The following is a 17466-nucleotide window of genomic DNA, read 5'->3' as shown; positions in this document are numbered from 1 at the left end:
CCCAAACAGACACAATACAAAATGGTCTTCTCCACAGCATACCATAGTCAAACTATCTAAAGTTAAAAACAAGAGAGAATTCTTAACAAGACAAGAAAATGTTTCACCTATAAAAGAACTCCCATCAGACTAACAGTGGATTTCTCAGCAAAAACCATATAGGTCAGGAGAGAATGGGATGATATATTCAAAGTGATAAGAAAAAAGTAAACAAAATTTTCACCCAAGGATACTACGTCTAGCAATATTGTCCTTCCTAAATGAAAGAGAAAGTACCACAGTTATTGTAATGATAACACATGGAAATCTGAACTCACTGGTGACACAAACACACAAATGAGAAAGAGAACAGACACAAATGGTACCACTATATAAACCTGCAAAACCACAATAACAAACAATAAGTGACAAAGAAAGGAACAAAGAATGTACAAAACAGCAAAAAAAACCAATTAATAATATGACAAGGAAAAATCCTCACGAAACAATAATAACCTTGAATGTAAATTAATTAAATTCTCCACTTAGAAGATATAGACTGGCCAGGTGCAGTGGCTCACACCTGTAATTCTAACACTGAGAGGCTGAGGTGGATGGACCACTTGAGGTTTGGAGTTCGAGACTAGCCTGGCCAACATGGTGAAACCCTGTCTCTACTAGAAATACAAAATTCAGCTAGGTATGGTGGTGGGTGCCTGTAATCCCAGCTACTCAGGAACCTGAGGCAGGAGAATTGCTTGAACCCAGGAGGTGAAGGCTGCAGTGAGCCGAGATCATACCACTGCACTACAGCCTGGGCAACAGAGTGAGACTCCATCTCAAAAGAATATATATATGGCTGAATGGACAAAGAAATGATCCAATTATATGCTGCATACAAGAAATACACTTTACCGGTAAAGAAACATAATAGACCGAGAGTAAAAAGGTGGAAAACTATATTCCACCAAAATGGAAACCAAGAGCTAACAGGAATAGCTATATATAGCAATACTAAAGACACATGAATTCAATAATTGAGTGCTCAGATTCATAAAGCAAATGTTATTTGATATCAAGAGAGAGAGCCTTTAATACAGTAATAGCAAGACTTCAATAAGAGATTCTCAGCATAGACAGAAAATCTAGAGGAACAATAAAAAAGAAACATTAGATTTGAAAGGGATCTGAGATCACATGGACATAACAGACATTTACAGAACATTTTCTCCAATAACAGAAGATTACATGTTATTCTCATCAGCACATGGAATATCCTATATGTTAGGACAGACTATATGTTAGGACCCAAAATAGGCCTCAAAAAATTCTAAAATAAACAAAATCATATCAAGTATTTTCCCAAACCACGATGAAATAAAACTAGAAATCAATAGGAGAGAAACTTTGGAAACTGTACACATATGTGGAAATAAAATAACATGTTTCTGAGTGAATATTGGATCAATAAATAATGTGGAAATAAAAGAAAAATTCTCGAAACAAATGAAAATAGAAACACAACATATTGAAACCTGTGAGATACAGCAAAAACAGTGCTAAGAGAAAAGATTATAGAAGTAAACACCTACATAAAAAATTCAAATAAACAATTTAACAATGTATCTCTATAAATTAGAAAATCAAGAGCAAACCAAACTCAAAATTAGTATATGAAAAGAAATAGTAAGTTTAAAAATATACAAAGGATGAATGAAATAAAAAGTCAATTATTCAGAAACATAAACAAAATTGATAAAACCACGAGCTAGACTAACCGAGGAAAGAAAAGAGAAAACCCAAATAAAATTATAAATGCAAACACAGTTGTAACAACACTGCCACAGGAATGCAAAAGGTCAATGGAGAGTGTTATCAATAGCTATATGATATAAACTGAAAAACTTAAAGAAAATCAATTGATTCCTGGAAAGATATAACCAACCAACACTGAATCAGGAAGAAATATAAAATCTGGACAAACCATGATATGGTTTGGTTCTGTGTCCCCACCCATATCTCATGTGGAATTTTTATTCCAAATTTTGGGGAAGAAACATCATGGGAGGAGGTTGGATCATGGGAATGCATTTCTCCCTTGCTCTTGATAGTGAGTGAGTTCTCACAAGATCTGACAGTTTAAAAGTTTGTGGCACTTTCTCTCTCTCTCTCTCTCTCTCTCTCTCTCTCTCTCTCTCCTGCCATCCTAGGAAGAAGGTACTTGCTTTCCCTTCACCTTCTGCCATGATTGTAAGTTTCCTGAGGCTTCCCAGTCATGTTTCCTGTTAAGCCCGCTGAACTGTGAGCCAATTAAAGCTCTTTTCTTTATAAATTACCCAGTCTCGGGTAGTTTTTTATAGCAGTGTGAGAACGGACTAATACAGAAATTTGTCACCACAGACAGTGGGGTGCTGCTATAAAGATACCCCAAAACGTGGAAGTGACTTTAGAACTGGGTTGTCAGCAGAGGATGGAACAGTTTTGAGGCCTCAGAAGAAGACAGGAAGTTGTGCTAATGTTTGAAACATCATAGAGACTTGTCAAATGGTTGTAACCAAATTGCTGATAGTGATATGGACAGTGAAGTCCAGGCTGAAGTAGTCTCAGATAAAGATGAGGAATTTATTAGGAATTGGAGTAAAGGTCACTTTTGCTATGCTTCGCCAAAGAGACTTGCAGCATTTTGTCCCTGGTCGAAATATCTGTGAATCTTTGAACTTGAGAGAGATGACTTAGGGCATCTGGTGGAAGAACTTTCTAAGCAGCAAAGCATTCATGAACGACTTGGCTGTTTCTAAAAGTGTATGCTCATATGCATGAAGAAAAAGATGGTATGAAATTTGAGCTTATATTTAAAAGGGAAGCACAGCCTGAAAGTTTGAAAAATTTGCAGCCTGACCATGCAGTAGAAAATATATACTCTCTTTTTTTCTGGGGAGAAATTCAAGCTGGCTTCATAGACTTGGATAACTAACAAGGAGCCAAATGCTAATAGCCAAAATAATGATGAAATGGCTTCAGGGCATTTCAGAGATCTTTGCAGACTTCCCCTCCCATCACAGGCCTGGAGACCTAGGAGGAATACATGGTTTCCTGGGTCAGGCCTAGGGTCCCGTTGCTCTGTGCAGCCTCGGCACAGGGTGTCCTCTGTCCCAGCTGCTCAAGCTTTTGCATTGCCTAAAAGGGGACAAGGTACAGCTCAGGCAGTTGCTTTAGAGGGTGAAAGCCCCAAGCCTTTGCAGCTCCCATGTATTGTTGTGTCTGCAGGTGCACAGAAGGTAAAAGTTTGGGAGCCTTTGCCTAGATTTCAGAGTATGTATGAAAATGCCTGGATGTCTAGGCAGAAGTCTGCTGCAGGGGTGGAATCTTCATGGAGAACCTTCATTATGGCAATGCAGAGGAGAAATGTGGGGTTGGAGCCCCACACAGAGTCCTCACTGGGGCACTGCTTAATGGAGCTGCAAGAAGAGGGCCATGGTCCTCCAGACCCCAGAATGGTAGATATACTGGCAGTTTGCACTCTGTGCCTGAAAAAGCCACAAGCACTCAATGCCAGCCTGTGAAAGCAGCCATGGGAGCTGTACCCTTCAGAGCCACGGGAGCAGAGCTGCCTAAGGTTTTGGGAGACCATCCATTGAGTCCGTGTGGCCTAGATGTGAGACAGGGAGTCAGGAGATCATTTTGAAGCTTTACAATTTGATGGCTTCCCTGCTGTGTTTCAGACTTGCATGGGGCCAGTATCCCCTTTGTTTTCACCAATTTCTCTAATTTGGAATGGGAACATTTAGCCCAATGCCTGTATCCCAATTGTATCTTGGAAGTAACTAATTTGTTTTTGAAATTACAAGCTCATAGGTGGAAGAGACTTGCCTTGCCTCAGATAAGACTTTGGACTTAGACTTTTGTCTTAATGCAGGAATGAGTTAAGAATTCAGAGGACTGTTGGGAAGGCATGATTGTGCTTTGACATGTGAAAAGAACATGAGATTTGGAAGGGGCCAGGGGTGGAATAATATGGTTGGCTCTCTGTCCCTACCCATATCTCATGTGGAATTTTAATTCCAAATTTTGGGGAAGAGCCCTAGTGGGTGGTGACTTCATCATGGGAGTGGGTTTCTCCCTTGCTGTTCTCATAATACTGAGTAAGTGCTCATAAAATATGGTTTAAAAGTGTGTGGCACTTCCCCCTCCCTCTCTTACTCTGCTGCCTCCCTGTGAAAAAGTTGCATGCTTCTCCTTCACCTTCTGCTGTGATTGTAAGTTTCTTGAGGCCTCTCTGTCATGCTTCCTGATAAGCCTGCAGAACTGTGAGTTAATTAAACCTCTTATTTTCAATAAATTACCCAGTCTTGGGTAATTCTTCATAGTAGTGTGAGAATGGACTAAAACAGACCAATAACAAATAGTGGAATTATGTCATTAATAAAATGTCATCCAACAAAGAAAATTCTAAGATCAGATGGAATCACTGGTTAAGAGTCTACCAAATGCATAAAAAATACAAAATATATCTATACCATATATACTATAGATATACTATAGATAGTATATCTATAGCATATATGCAATAGATAGTATATATACTATATATAATCTATAGTATATATAGTGTATATGGTATAGATATACTATTAGAGTATATATAGTGTATATGGTATAGATATACTATATAGAGTATATATAGTGTATATGGCATAGACATACTATATAGAGTATATATAGTGTATATGGTATAGACATACTATGTAGAGTATATATAATGTATATGGTATAGACACACTATATAGATTATATATAGTGTATATGGTATAGACATACTATATAGAGTATATATAGTGTATATGGTATAGACACACTATATAGAGTATATATAGTGTATACGGTATAGACATACTATATAGAGTATATATAGTGTATACGGTATAGATATACTATATAGAGTATATATAGTGTAGATGGTATAGACATACTATATAGATCATATATAGTGTATATGGTATAGATATACTATACAGAGTATATATAGTGTATATGGTATAGATATACTATACAGAGTATAGATATGCTATATATACTATATATACTATATATAGTATATATAGTATAGATATATCATATGTAGTATATATAGTACAGATATAGTATATATAAGATCTTATATATATACTATATATACTTTATTATATTATATATGATCTATAGTATATATAAGATCTTATATATAATATATAGTATATATAAAAGATCTTATATATACACGATCTTATATATATTATATATATAGTATATATATAAGATCTTATATATATATATACACACATACCTTTGTGTATCAATAGAAGAAAAAAAAAGCAGAAACTCTGAAACTTCAATATATCTGTTTGAATATCATCCCACCAGTGACTAGCTGTGTGATCTTGTAAAATTGAATTAACTTCTCTGTGCTATAATTTCTCATTTCTATATTGGTCATAATAATGCTACCTGCCTCCTAATAGTCATAGAAGATTAAATAGAATAATATATAGAGAGCATTTAGTAGAGTTTCTAGTATTTTATGTATTATATAAATGATTATTATTGCTAAAGTTATATTTGTACTGTAAAATGCCAAACAACTTACTTTATGCAAAAAATTTTTCTGACCTAGTGAAAAAAATTTGAAAATCAGTAAAGAGTATATGTACAAAGAGAGGTTGAGATAGAGTGAGATAAAAGAAATTAAGTAAAAAGCAAAAAAAGAAAGGTGAAACAATAAAGGTTCACAGCTGAAAATATTTTTTAATTGTTATAGAATACATAAAACATAAATCATACAATTTTACATGTAAGATTCAGTAGTATTAATCACATTGGCAATGTTGTACAATCATAACCACTATCTATTTGCAAAACATTTTCATTACTCCCAAGCAGAAACTATGTACCCATTAAAAATAATTTTTCAGATCTCCCTTCTTTCTCACCCCTGGTAACAGCTAATGAAATTTTCCCTTTATAAATTTGCCTGTTTTATATATATCATATAAGTGGAATCATACAATAGTTTTTTTATGTCTGTCTTGTTTCACTTAGTGTAATGGTTTAATGTTCATCCACATCATAGTATGAATAAGAACTGATTAAATTTTATGGCTGAATGATTGTGTGTGTGTGCATGCGTGTGTGTGTAATTTTGTTTATCCATTCATCTCTTGAAAAGCACTTAGTTTGTTTCAAGATTTGGCTATCATAAATAACACTACAACAAATATTGGCATACACATATGTGTGTGAGTCACTCTTCAATACTTTTGAGTATATAACTAGTGGTGTAATGGCTGAATCATGTTATAATTTGGGTTTTTTTTTTTTTTGAGAAACCATTAAACTGTTTTCCACAGTAGCTGCACCATTGTCCATTTTCACCACTAATGTATGAGAGTTCCACTTGATTCACATTATTAAAGAAAATAGTTATCCTATTTTGTGAGTAGTGGCATCGCATTGTAATTTTGATCTGTGTATCCCCAATGACTAATTATGTTAAGCATCTTTTTATGTGTATGTTGATCATTTGTATGCCTTCTTTAGAGAAATGTTTATCCAAACCATTTTCTCATAATGTAAATGAGTTATCTTATTTTTATACTCTATACACTAAAACTTTATCAAGTGTATCATTTGCAGATCTTTTGACTCATAACTTAAGTTGTCTTTTCACTTTCTTAATAATGTCCTTTGATGAACAAAATTTTCAGTTTTGATGGAGTCCAATGTATCTATTTTTTGTAGCTTGTGCTTTTGGTGTTATAGCTAAGAATCTATTGCAACTCCAAGGTAATGAAGATTTAACTCTATGTTTTATTTGAAACATTTTTATGATTTATTCCTTAAGTTTTGTTATTTGATTTATTTTGATTTAATTTTTCTATAAAGTATGAGGTAAAAGTTCACGTTTATTCTCCTACACGTACATATTCATTTTTCCTGTCACCATTTGCTGAAGAGACTGTTCTTTCCTCCATTTAATGGTCTTAATACTAATTTCTCATTAGAAACCTTGGAGGCCAGAAAGTAGTGGGGTGATCTGTTTAATGCACGGAAAGAAATTTTTAGAAAAAAAAACCCTGTCAACTTGGAATTATATATGTCAAGACTCTCCTGCAAAAAATAAGGGAGGACGTAAGACATTTACAGATAAACAAAAGCTGAAGGAATCATTTTCAGTAGACTATCTTTATAAAAATGCTAAGGCAATTCCTTCATACAACTATTATCTGCTCATAGAAATATAAATATAAAGAAATGCCTTCAGATTGAAATGTAAGAACTGTATGTAGTAACTCAAAGGCATATAAAAATATAAAGAATTTCTGTAAATGTAAATACATAGACATATATAAAAGCTATTATTATTGTAATTTTGGTTTTAAGACTCTGCTTTAAATTTTCCATGGTTTTGAAAAGACAAATGCATAAAATATAATTATAAATCTATGCTATTAGGCACATAATAAATAAAGATGTAACTTGTAACACAAATAACATAACAGGGAAGGTGAGTAAAACAGTATAGTTATAAGTTCTATTAGTATGTGACTGAAGGTAAATTGGTATAAATTCAAATTAGATTATTATAATTTGGGGATGCTACATGTAATCTTCATGGGAACCCCAAATAAAATATTGAATACAAGAAATAAAATAAAAAGGGTGTAAACATTTATAACTTCAAAGAATCCATTAAACACAAAACGAAGTAATGGAGGAAACAATGGAAAAATCTATAAAATATATTTAAAAAATTAACAAAATGAAAATAAACCCTATTAACAAAATGAAAAAAAACCCTATTTTTTCCCTTATTAGTAATTACTCCAATGCAAAGGAATGTCCAGTCATGGAGGCTCATGACTTTAATCTCAGTGCTTTGAGAGGCCAAGGCAGGAGGATGGTTAAAGGAGAGGAGTTCAAAACCAGCGTGAGAAACATAGAAAGACCCCATATCTAAAATAATAGAAATAAAAAATCATACAAATTAAACTTCCCAATCAAATGGCATAAAGTGGAAAAATAGATTAAAATACATGATTCAAATATATGCAATCTACAAATGCTGAACTTTCCTAGAACACAAACAGATTGACAGTGAAAAGAATAAAAATGTATTTTATGTAAATACTGAACAAAAGAGAGTTGGACTGGCTACACCAATAAGAGACAAAATAGTCTTTAAGTAAAAAATTACTACAAGAGACAAAGAGGAACATTATACATTGATAAAAGACTAACTTCTCAAAATATATAATGATTATGAACATATTTGCACCAAGCAATAGCGCTCTGAAATATGAAGCAAATATTGACATAATTGAAAATGGAAAAGGGGTTCTAAAATAGCAGTTGGCAACTTTAATACTCCACTCTTAATAATGGATACACAACCACAAAAAAAGAACAGTGTACTAGTACTGAATAATACACTATGGTATTCTCTAGATAAACAGAATTAACTACGTAGATGTATGTGTTTGTACACATACATACACACATAATGATATGGTTTGGGTGTGGCACCACCCAAATCTCATCTTGAATTGTAATTCGCACATTTCCCAAATGTCATGAAAGGACCCTGGTGGAAGGTAATTGAATTATGGGGGCAGGTCTTTGCTGCACTGTTCTTGTGGTAGTGAATGAGTCTCATGAGGTCTGATGGTTTTAAAAATGGGAGTTTCTCTGCACAAAATCTTGCTTTGCCTGCCACTATCCAAATAAGATGTAACTTGCTCCTTCTTGCCTTGTTCCAGATTGTGAGGCCTCCCTAGCCATGTGGAACTGTGAGTCCAATTAAGCTTAAGCTTTTTTTTTTTTTTTTGTAAATTGCCTAGTTTTGGTTATCCCTTTACCAGCAGCATGAAAACAGACTAATACAGTGAATTGGTTCCAGTAGAGTGGGGAGTTGTTGAAAATGTGGAAGCGACTTTGGAACTGGGTAACAGGCAGAGGTTGCAACAGTTCAGAGGGCTCAGAAGACAGAAAAATGTGGGAAAGTTTGGAACTTCCTAGAGACTTGTTAAATAGCTTTGCCCAAATTGCTGATAGAAATATGGACAATAAAGTCCAGGTTTAGGTAGTCTCATATGGAAATTAGGAACTTGTTGGGAACTGGAGCAAATGTGACTTGTTATGTTTTAGCAAAGAGACTGGTGACACTTGCCCCTGTCCTAGAGAATTGTGGAACTTTTAACTTAAGGGAGATGATTTATGGTATCTGGCAGAAGAAATTTCTAAGCAGCAAAGCATTCAAGATGTGACTTGGGTGCTGCTAAAGGCATTCAGTTTTATAAGGGAAGCAAGCATAAATGCTTGGAAAATTTGCAGCTGGACAATGTGATTGAAAGGAAAATCCCATTTTCTGAGCAGGAATTGAAGCTAGCTGCAGAAATTTGCATAAGTAACAAGGAGCTTAATTTTAATCTCCAAGACAATGGGGAAAATGTCTCCAGGGCATGTCAGAGGCCTTCATGGCAGCCCATCCCATCACAGGCCTGGAGGCCCAGGAGGAAAAAGTGGTTTTGTGGGCCAGGCCCAGGGCCCCTGGGTTGTGTGCAGCCTAGGGACTTGGTGCCCTGCATCACAGCCCCTCTAGTTGGGGCAGAAAGGGGCCAACATAGAGCTCGGGCCACAGCTTCAGAGGGTGGAAGCCTCAAGCCTTGGCAGTTTCCATGTGGCATTAAGCCTAACAGTGCACAGAAGTCAAGAATTAGGTTTAGAGGACCTCTACCTAGATTTCAGAGGATGTATGAAAATGCCTGGACTTCAGAAAATGCCTGGATATCCAGGCAGAAGTCTGCTGCAAAGGCAGGGTTCTCATGGAGAACATCTGCTAGGGCACTGGAGAAGGGAAATGTGGGATTGGAGCCCCACACAGAGTCCCTACTGGGGCACTGCCTAGTGGGGCTGTGAGAAAAGGGCTACCATTCTCCAGATCCCACAATGATAGATCCACTGACAACTTGCATCATGTGCCTAGAAAAGCCACAGACAACACCAGCCCGTGAAAGCTTCAGGGAGGCAGGCTGTACCCACCAAAACCACAGAGGCAAAGCTATCCAAAACCATGGGAACCCACCTCTTGCATCAGCAAGACCTGGATGTGAGACATGGAGTCAAAGGAGATAATTTCTGAGCTTTAAGATTTGACTGCCCCACTGGATTTTGGACTTGCATGAGGCCTGTAGCTCCTTTGTTTTGACCAATTTCTCATATTTGAAACAGCTGTATTTACCCAATGTCTGTAGCTCCATTGTACCTAGGAAGTAATTAACTTACTTTTGATTTTACAGGCTCATAGGCAGAAGGGACATGCTTTGTCTCAGATGAGACGTTAGACTGTGGACTTTTGAGTTAATGCTGAAATGAGTCAAGACTTTGTGGGACTGTGGGGAAGAAATGATTGATTTTGAAATGTAAGGACATAAGATTTGGGAGGGGCCAGGAGCAGGATGATATGGTTTGGTTGTGTCACCACCCAAATCTCATCTTGAATTGTAACTCCCACAATTTCCATATGTCACGGGAGGTACCTAGTGGGAGGTGATTGAATTATGGGGAATGGCCTTACCTGTGTTGTTCTCATGATAATGAATGAGTCTCACAAGATCTGATGGTTTTAAAAATGGGATTTTCTCTGCACAAGCTCTCTCTTTGCCTGCCACCATCCACATAAGATGTGACTTGCTTCTTCTTGCCTTCTGCCATGATTGTGAGGCCTCCCCAGCCACTTGGAACTGTGAATCCAATTAATCCTTTCTTTTGTAAATTGCCCAGTCTCGGGTATGTTTTTTATCAGCAGCGTGAGCACGAACTTATACACATACATATATAAATACCTTTATCTATGTATCTATATAGAGAGACATATAGATATAGATATCTCTGTGGAGATTGATCTGTAGACTTATCTTTTTCTTTCTACACAGTCATTCCTAGGTAACTGTAGGGGATTTTTTCTAGGAACCCCTTGTATGATTTGGCTCCTTGTTCCCACTCAAATCTCATCTTGTAGCTCCCATAATTCCCATGTGTTGTGGGAGGGACCTGGTGGGAGATAACTGATTCACAGTGGCGGGTCTTTCCCATGCTGTTTTCATGATAGTGAATGGGTCTCACAAAATCTGATGGTTTTAAAAATGGGAATTTCTCCGCAAAAATGTCTCTTTGCCTGCTGACATCCCTATAAGATGTGACTTGTTCCTCCTTGCCTTCCACCATGATTATGAGGCCTCCACAGCCACGAGGAACTGTGAGTTCTCCATTAAACCTCTTTCCTTTGTAAATTGCCCAGTCTCAGTTATGTCTTTATCAGCAGCATGAAAACAGACTAATACACTCCCATAGATACCAAACTTCACAGATGCTCAGGTCCCTTGTATGACATGACATAGTATTTGTCTATAACCTATGCACATCCTCCTATATACTTTAAATCTCTAGATTACTTATAATACCTAAAACAATGTAAGTGCTATGTAAATAGTTGTTATACTGTATTTTATATTATTTTTCTTTTTTCTTTCTTTTTTTTTTGAGACGGAGTCTCACTCTGTCACCCAGGCTGGAGTGCAAAGGTGTGATCTTGGCTCACTGCAACCTCTGCCTCCTGGGTTCAAGCCATTCTCCTGCCTCAGCCTCCTGAGTAGCTGGGATTACAGGTGCCCGCCACCACGCTCAGTTAATTTTTCGTATTTTTAGTAGAGATGGTGTTTCACTATGTTGGTCAGGCTGGTCTCCAACTCCTGACCTCTTGATCCACCTGCCTCGGCCTCCCAAAGTGCCAGGATTGCAGGTGTGAGCCACCACGCCTGGCCATATTATTTTTCTTATTGTTTTCTTAGTGATTATTTTTTTTCTTGAATATTTGTGATTCACAGTTGGTTGGATTAATAGATGCAGAAGCCACAGACATAGAAGGCCAATTGTTTGTGTGTGTGTGTGTGTGTATGTGTGTATAAAATTTCTCTAGATAGATAGTCAATAAAGGAATAGATAGATTGATAGGCAAATACAAAGGGATTTCTTTCTGAAATCAGTCATATGATTGCAGAGGTGCAAGTTTAATATATTAAGAGTAGTCTGGCGGACTGGTGACCCAGGAAAAAGTTGTAGTCCATGTACAAAGGCAGTTTACTGGCAGAATTCCTTCTTCCTTGTGAGATGTCTGTTTCATTTAATTAAATCCTTCCATTAATTGATGATTCTCGGCCACAATAGAGGGTAATCTGCTTTACTCAAGTCTACTGATTTAAATGTTAATCTCATCCATAAAACGCATTCAAAGAAACATCCAGAATAATGTTTGATCAAATACCTGGGCACTGTGGCCCAACAACGTTGACACAAAAAAGTAAACATTACAAGTCCTCCCCTTGTCAAACTGCCATCTATACACATCTCTGTACACCATACCTAAACTCTTAATAAAGAAAATTAGAAGACCATACTCCTGCCAAATATAATACAACTATCCGCATATAACTGAAAATGTACTAACTCCTTTCTCAGAAGAGAATGCAAAATCTTTGGAAAATGTTTACTCTTCTTCTTGATATCCCATAACTGAAATAATATGATGTAAAGTAAACAATATGTAAAACCATGATATAATGTAAATATATATTATGTTACATGATAAAAGCATAGAAGAAAACAAAGAATTATTTATACACATATTCATAACAAAACAAAATAAGACAACTACAATCACCTTTTCTATAACTTGTCATGCAGTCATATCTGGTACTCATAACTATACATACTGTATTTCCTTTGCTCTTAGAAAATACTTCAGCTGGTTGTAGTTTTTCACCTGGGGACTGACACAAAGTTTCATTCCAGAAGTGTCTGGGCTATTAATAGTCTCTTCTTCACAATTCAGAGTAATGAGGAGCTCAAAGTGGCTGAGGAGCAATCTTAACTTCCAATTCAATGGAATTCTTGTGTCTTCTAGTAAAAGTATCCATCCCTTTGTAATTAAGACCTGTAATATTATAGAAAAAAAATTGTTACAAGTGAGTCACTAGCGGTAATAGTTTTGCCATTCCCATTTCAACTTGTTGATTCCTGGACCTGTGAATCCTGGGTATGGGAGGAGCATTACAATATACTGGATGCTGTTTTAGATCATACACAACTTTCTGAAGAAATGTGCCCCAGCGCTACATGGTATTTACCACTTAGATTGCACTGTCACAGAGTCTTCAAAAGACCATTTCATGGTTCTGTTGGCCAGCTCCATAATTCTGGTGGAGAAAACATGGCAAGACCACTGAATCCTATGACCATAGTCTCAATGCTGTGCATAAAAGGAAGGCAAATTTATATCCGCAGTAAGTGTATATTTTAGCAACAACAAAATACTGTCTTCCATGATGAAAGCAGTTCAATGAAATAAACCTGGCACCAGGTAGCTAGCTGATCACCCTGAGAAATAATTGCAATCTGAAACTAAAGGCAGTCTACTGGAAGGATTTTTTTTCCCCAGGATAAATTATTCTATTTTTATTGAGAGCTTCTCTTGATTATATGAGGCCCACCCTCATTATAGAGGGTAATCTGCTTTACTCAAAATCCTCAAATTTAAATGTTAATCTAATCCAAAAAGAACTCACCTTCATAGAAACATTCAGAATGATATTTGACCATGTGCTGGGCAGTTACCCAGCAAAGTTAACACATAAAATTAATCAATATAATCAGTGAGAATACTGTGAACTTGAACAAAACTATAAACCACCTGCAACTAAAAGAAATACAGAGGACACTCTACCCAAAAAACAGCACCACAATACATAGCATTCTCAACTGTACATGAAACATTTACCAGGGTAGACTATATATTAGGCCATAAAATTGGTACAAATAAAGATTAAAAACATATGGCTGAGCAAGGAGGCTCATGCCTATAATCCCAGACTTTTGAGAGTCTGAGACAGGAGGATTGTTTGAGGCCAGGAGTTTAAAAAGAGTCAGGGCAACATGGTGAGATCCCATCTCTTCAAAAAGAAAATAGATTAGGTGGGCATGAAGATGCATGCCTGTAGTCCCAGCTACTCAGGAGGCTGAGGTGGGAGAACCACTTGAGAACAGGAGGATGAGGCTACAGTGAATCATGTTCACCCCTCTGCACTCAGCCTTGGTGAAGAGGAAGACTGTCTCAGAAACAAACAAACAACACCAACGTGCAATATATATTTTTAATAAAAATGGAATGAAACTAATAGTAAATAACAAAAGGAATACTAAAAAAATTTACAAGTATGTGGAAATGAAACACCTTTTTACAAAACAAATAGGTTAAAGAAAAAAATATTTAAAAATTGATCGGAAAAACACTGAGACTCACAAAATTTTAAAACAACATCCCAACACTTACACAGTCAGTCAAAGAAGGTCTAAGAGGAAAATTTATAGCTTAAATGCTTACATTATTTAAAAAATGTATCTAGAGTAAATAATTTAACTTTACAACATAAAGGACTGGAAAAAAAGCAAACCGAGCTCAAATTTGGTTGATGGAAAAAATTAATATGGATGAGAACGAAGATAAATATAAGAATAGATAAACAACAGAGAAAATCAATAAAAATAAAAATTGGGCCAGGTGCGGTGGCTCACGCCTGTAATGCCAGCACTTTGGGAGGCAGAGGTGGGTGGATCACGAGGTCAGAAGATCAAGACCATCCTGGCTAACACGGTGTAACCCCGTCTCTACTAAAAATACAAAAAAAAAATTAGCCGGGCGTGGTGGCAGGCGCCTGTAGTCCTAGCTACTCAGGAGGCTGAGGTAGGAGAATGGCGTGAACCCCGGGAGGTGGAGCTTGCAGTGAGCCGAGATCGCGCCACAGCACTCCATCCTGGGTGCCAGAGTGAGACTCCATCTCAAAAAAAAAAAAAAAAGAAAGAAAAAAGAAAGAAAGAAAGAAGAAAGAAAGACAGAAAGAAAAAATTGATTCTTTGCAAGGATAAACAAAATTGACACAACTTTAGCTAGATTGACTGAGAAATAAGAGAGGTACCACATAACTAAAATTAGAAATTAAGATAAATTCTGGAGAGGATGAAGAATAAAGGGAATTCTTACATACTGTTGGTGTATGTAAATATATATGTAAATTGTGTATATGTAAATTAGTACAGACACTGTGGAAAGCAGTATGGAGGTTCCCCAAAAAACTAAAAATTAAACCACTGTATGTTCTCAGCAATCACACTACTGGATATACATCCAAAGGAAAGAAAATTATTATGTTAAAGAGATATCTGACTTTCTGCCTCCGCTACTGCCATGGCACCCGTGAAAAAGCTTGTGATGAAGGGGGGCAAAAAAAAGAAGCAGATTCTGAAATTCACTCTTGATTGCACCCACCCCATAAAAGATGGAATCATGGATGCTGCCAATTTTGAGCAGTTTTTGCAAGAAAGCATCAAAGTGATCAGAAAAGCTGAGAAACTTGGTAAGGGGCAGTGACCATCGAAAGGAGCAAGAGAAATATCACCGTGACATCCCAGGTGCCTTTTTCCAAAAGGTATTTGAAATATCTTACCAAAAAATATTTGAAGAAGAATAATCTATGTGATTGGTTGCACGTAGTTGCTAAGAGAGTTATGAATTCCGTTACTTCCAAATTAACCAGGATGAAGAAGAGGAGGAAGATGAGGATTAAATTTCATTTCTCTGGAATATTTTGTATGAGTTCTTGAAAAGAATTTGGGAACCAAAATGGTGGTTTATGCTTGTATCTCTGCAGTGTGGATTGAACAGAAAATTGGATTCATAGTCAAAGGACTTCCTTTGGGCCACCAGTCACTTATTTATACCATGAATTTTTTTTTTTTTTTCTGCTTGAAAATTTCAATTCTCGTGGTAACACCAGAGTACAAGAGGGTGACTTTACAGAAATGACAGCCATTGGGCAGGCAGGTAAGGGTGTGGAGGTGTGGACTGAAGGTAGTGACTGTTTTATTTTAGAAGTGTGACTGTCAATTGTTTCTGTTGCTTTTCCCAAAGAATGATTCAGGGATACAAGTGGGTTCCTCTCATTCATTAAGAGAAAATATGACAGCTTTCTAAGATTCTCTGTGGGAAAATAACAGTGTCAATAAAATTCAGGTTTCTGGGACATTTGTCTTACTTTGATTTTTTTATTGCAAATTTCTCTTGATGCACACAATTGTGTCTACTAATCCTCTTCTTCCTAGAGAGAGAAAATATGCTCCTTCAGCATTGCTGTGTAGTCCATCACTTTCCATAAAGGGGTTTGGGGAATTGATTGTAAAAGTCCCAGGTTCTAAATTAACTACATGTGTACAAATATGAATGTGTCTGTTTCTACAAAAAAAAAAAAAAAGAAATTAAGGTGGGGACATTACTACGAAAAAAATAAGTAGGATTATAAGAGAGTTTAATGAAGAATTGTATGCCAATAAGTTAGATAACTTAGATAAAATGGATAAATTCCCAGAAACATACAACTCACAAATACTGAATAATGGATAGAAAATATGAATGGATATATCAGTAATAAGGAGACAGAATCAGTAATCAAAAACTTCTGAAAAAACAAAAGCATATCCTTCACCCACTTTTTGATCGGGTTGTCTGTTTTTTTCTTGTAAATTTGTTTAAGCTCTTTGTAGACTCGGGATATTAGCTATTGGTCAAATAAATAGATTGCAAAAATTTTCTCCCATTCTGTAGGTTGCCTGTTCACTCTGATGATAGTTTCTTTTGCTGTGAAGAAGCTCTTTAGTTTAATTAGACCCCATTTGTCAATTTTGTCTTTCATTGCAATTGCTTTTGGTGTTTTATTCATGAAATCTTTGCCTATGCCTATGTCCTGAATGGTATTGCCTAGGTTTTCTTCTAGGGTTTTTATGGTTTTGGGTTTTATTTTTAAGTCTTTAATCCATCTTGAGTTAATTTTTGTATAAGGTGTAAAGAAGGAATCCAGTTTCTGTTTTCTGCCTATGGCTAGCCAGTTCTCCCAGCAGCATTTATTAAACAGGGAATCCTTTCCCCATTGCTTGCTTTTGTAAGGTTTGTTGAAGATCAGATGGATGTAGATGGGTGGTGTTATTTCTGAGGTCTCTGTTCTGTTTCGTTTGTCTATATATCTGTTTTGGTACAAGTATCATGCTGTTTTGGTTACTGTAGCTTTGTAGTATAAAACAGACACTACCCAAACAAAGACATTTATGTGGCCAACAAACCATATGAAGAAAAAAGCTCAATATCACTGGTTATTAGAGAAATGCAAATCAAAACCACAATGAGATACCATCTCACGCCAGTTAGAATGGACATCATTGAAAAGTCGGGAAACAACAGAAGCTAGTGAGGCTGTGGAGAAATAGGAATGCTTTTACATTGTTGGTGGGAGTGTAAATTAGTTCAACCATTGTGGAAGACAGTGTGTTGATTCCTCCAGGATCTAGAACCAG

At 36.3% G+C, this 17466-nt stretch overlaps 1 pseudogene; it reads left to right on the top strand.

The window, feature by feature from the left end:
• Positions 15290 to 15889, top strand: RPL22P22 (ribosomal protein L22 pseudogene 22; annotated as a pseudogene).
• Positions 15890 to 17466: the final 1577 nt, after the last annotated feature.

The sequence above is a fragment of the Homo sapiens genome, chromosome X (assembly GCF_000001405.40).
Source record: "Homo sapiens chromosome X, GRCh38.p14 Primary Assembly".
In the NCBI taxonomy this organism is placed as follows: domain Eukaryota; kingdom Metazoa; phylum Chordata; class Mammalia; order Primates; family Hominidae; genus Homo; species Homo sapiens.
The sequence above is the reverse complement of the archived record's forward strand: the minus strand, read 5'-3'. Positions and strand labels throughout refer to the sequence as shown.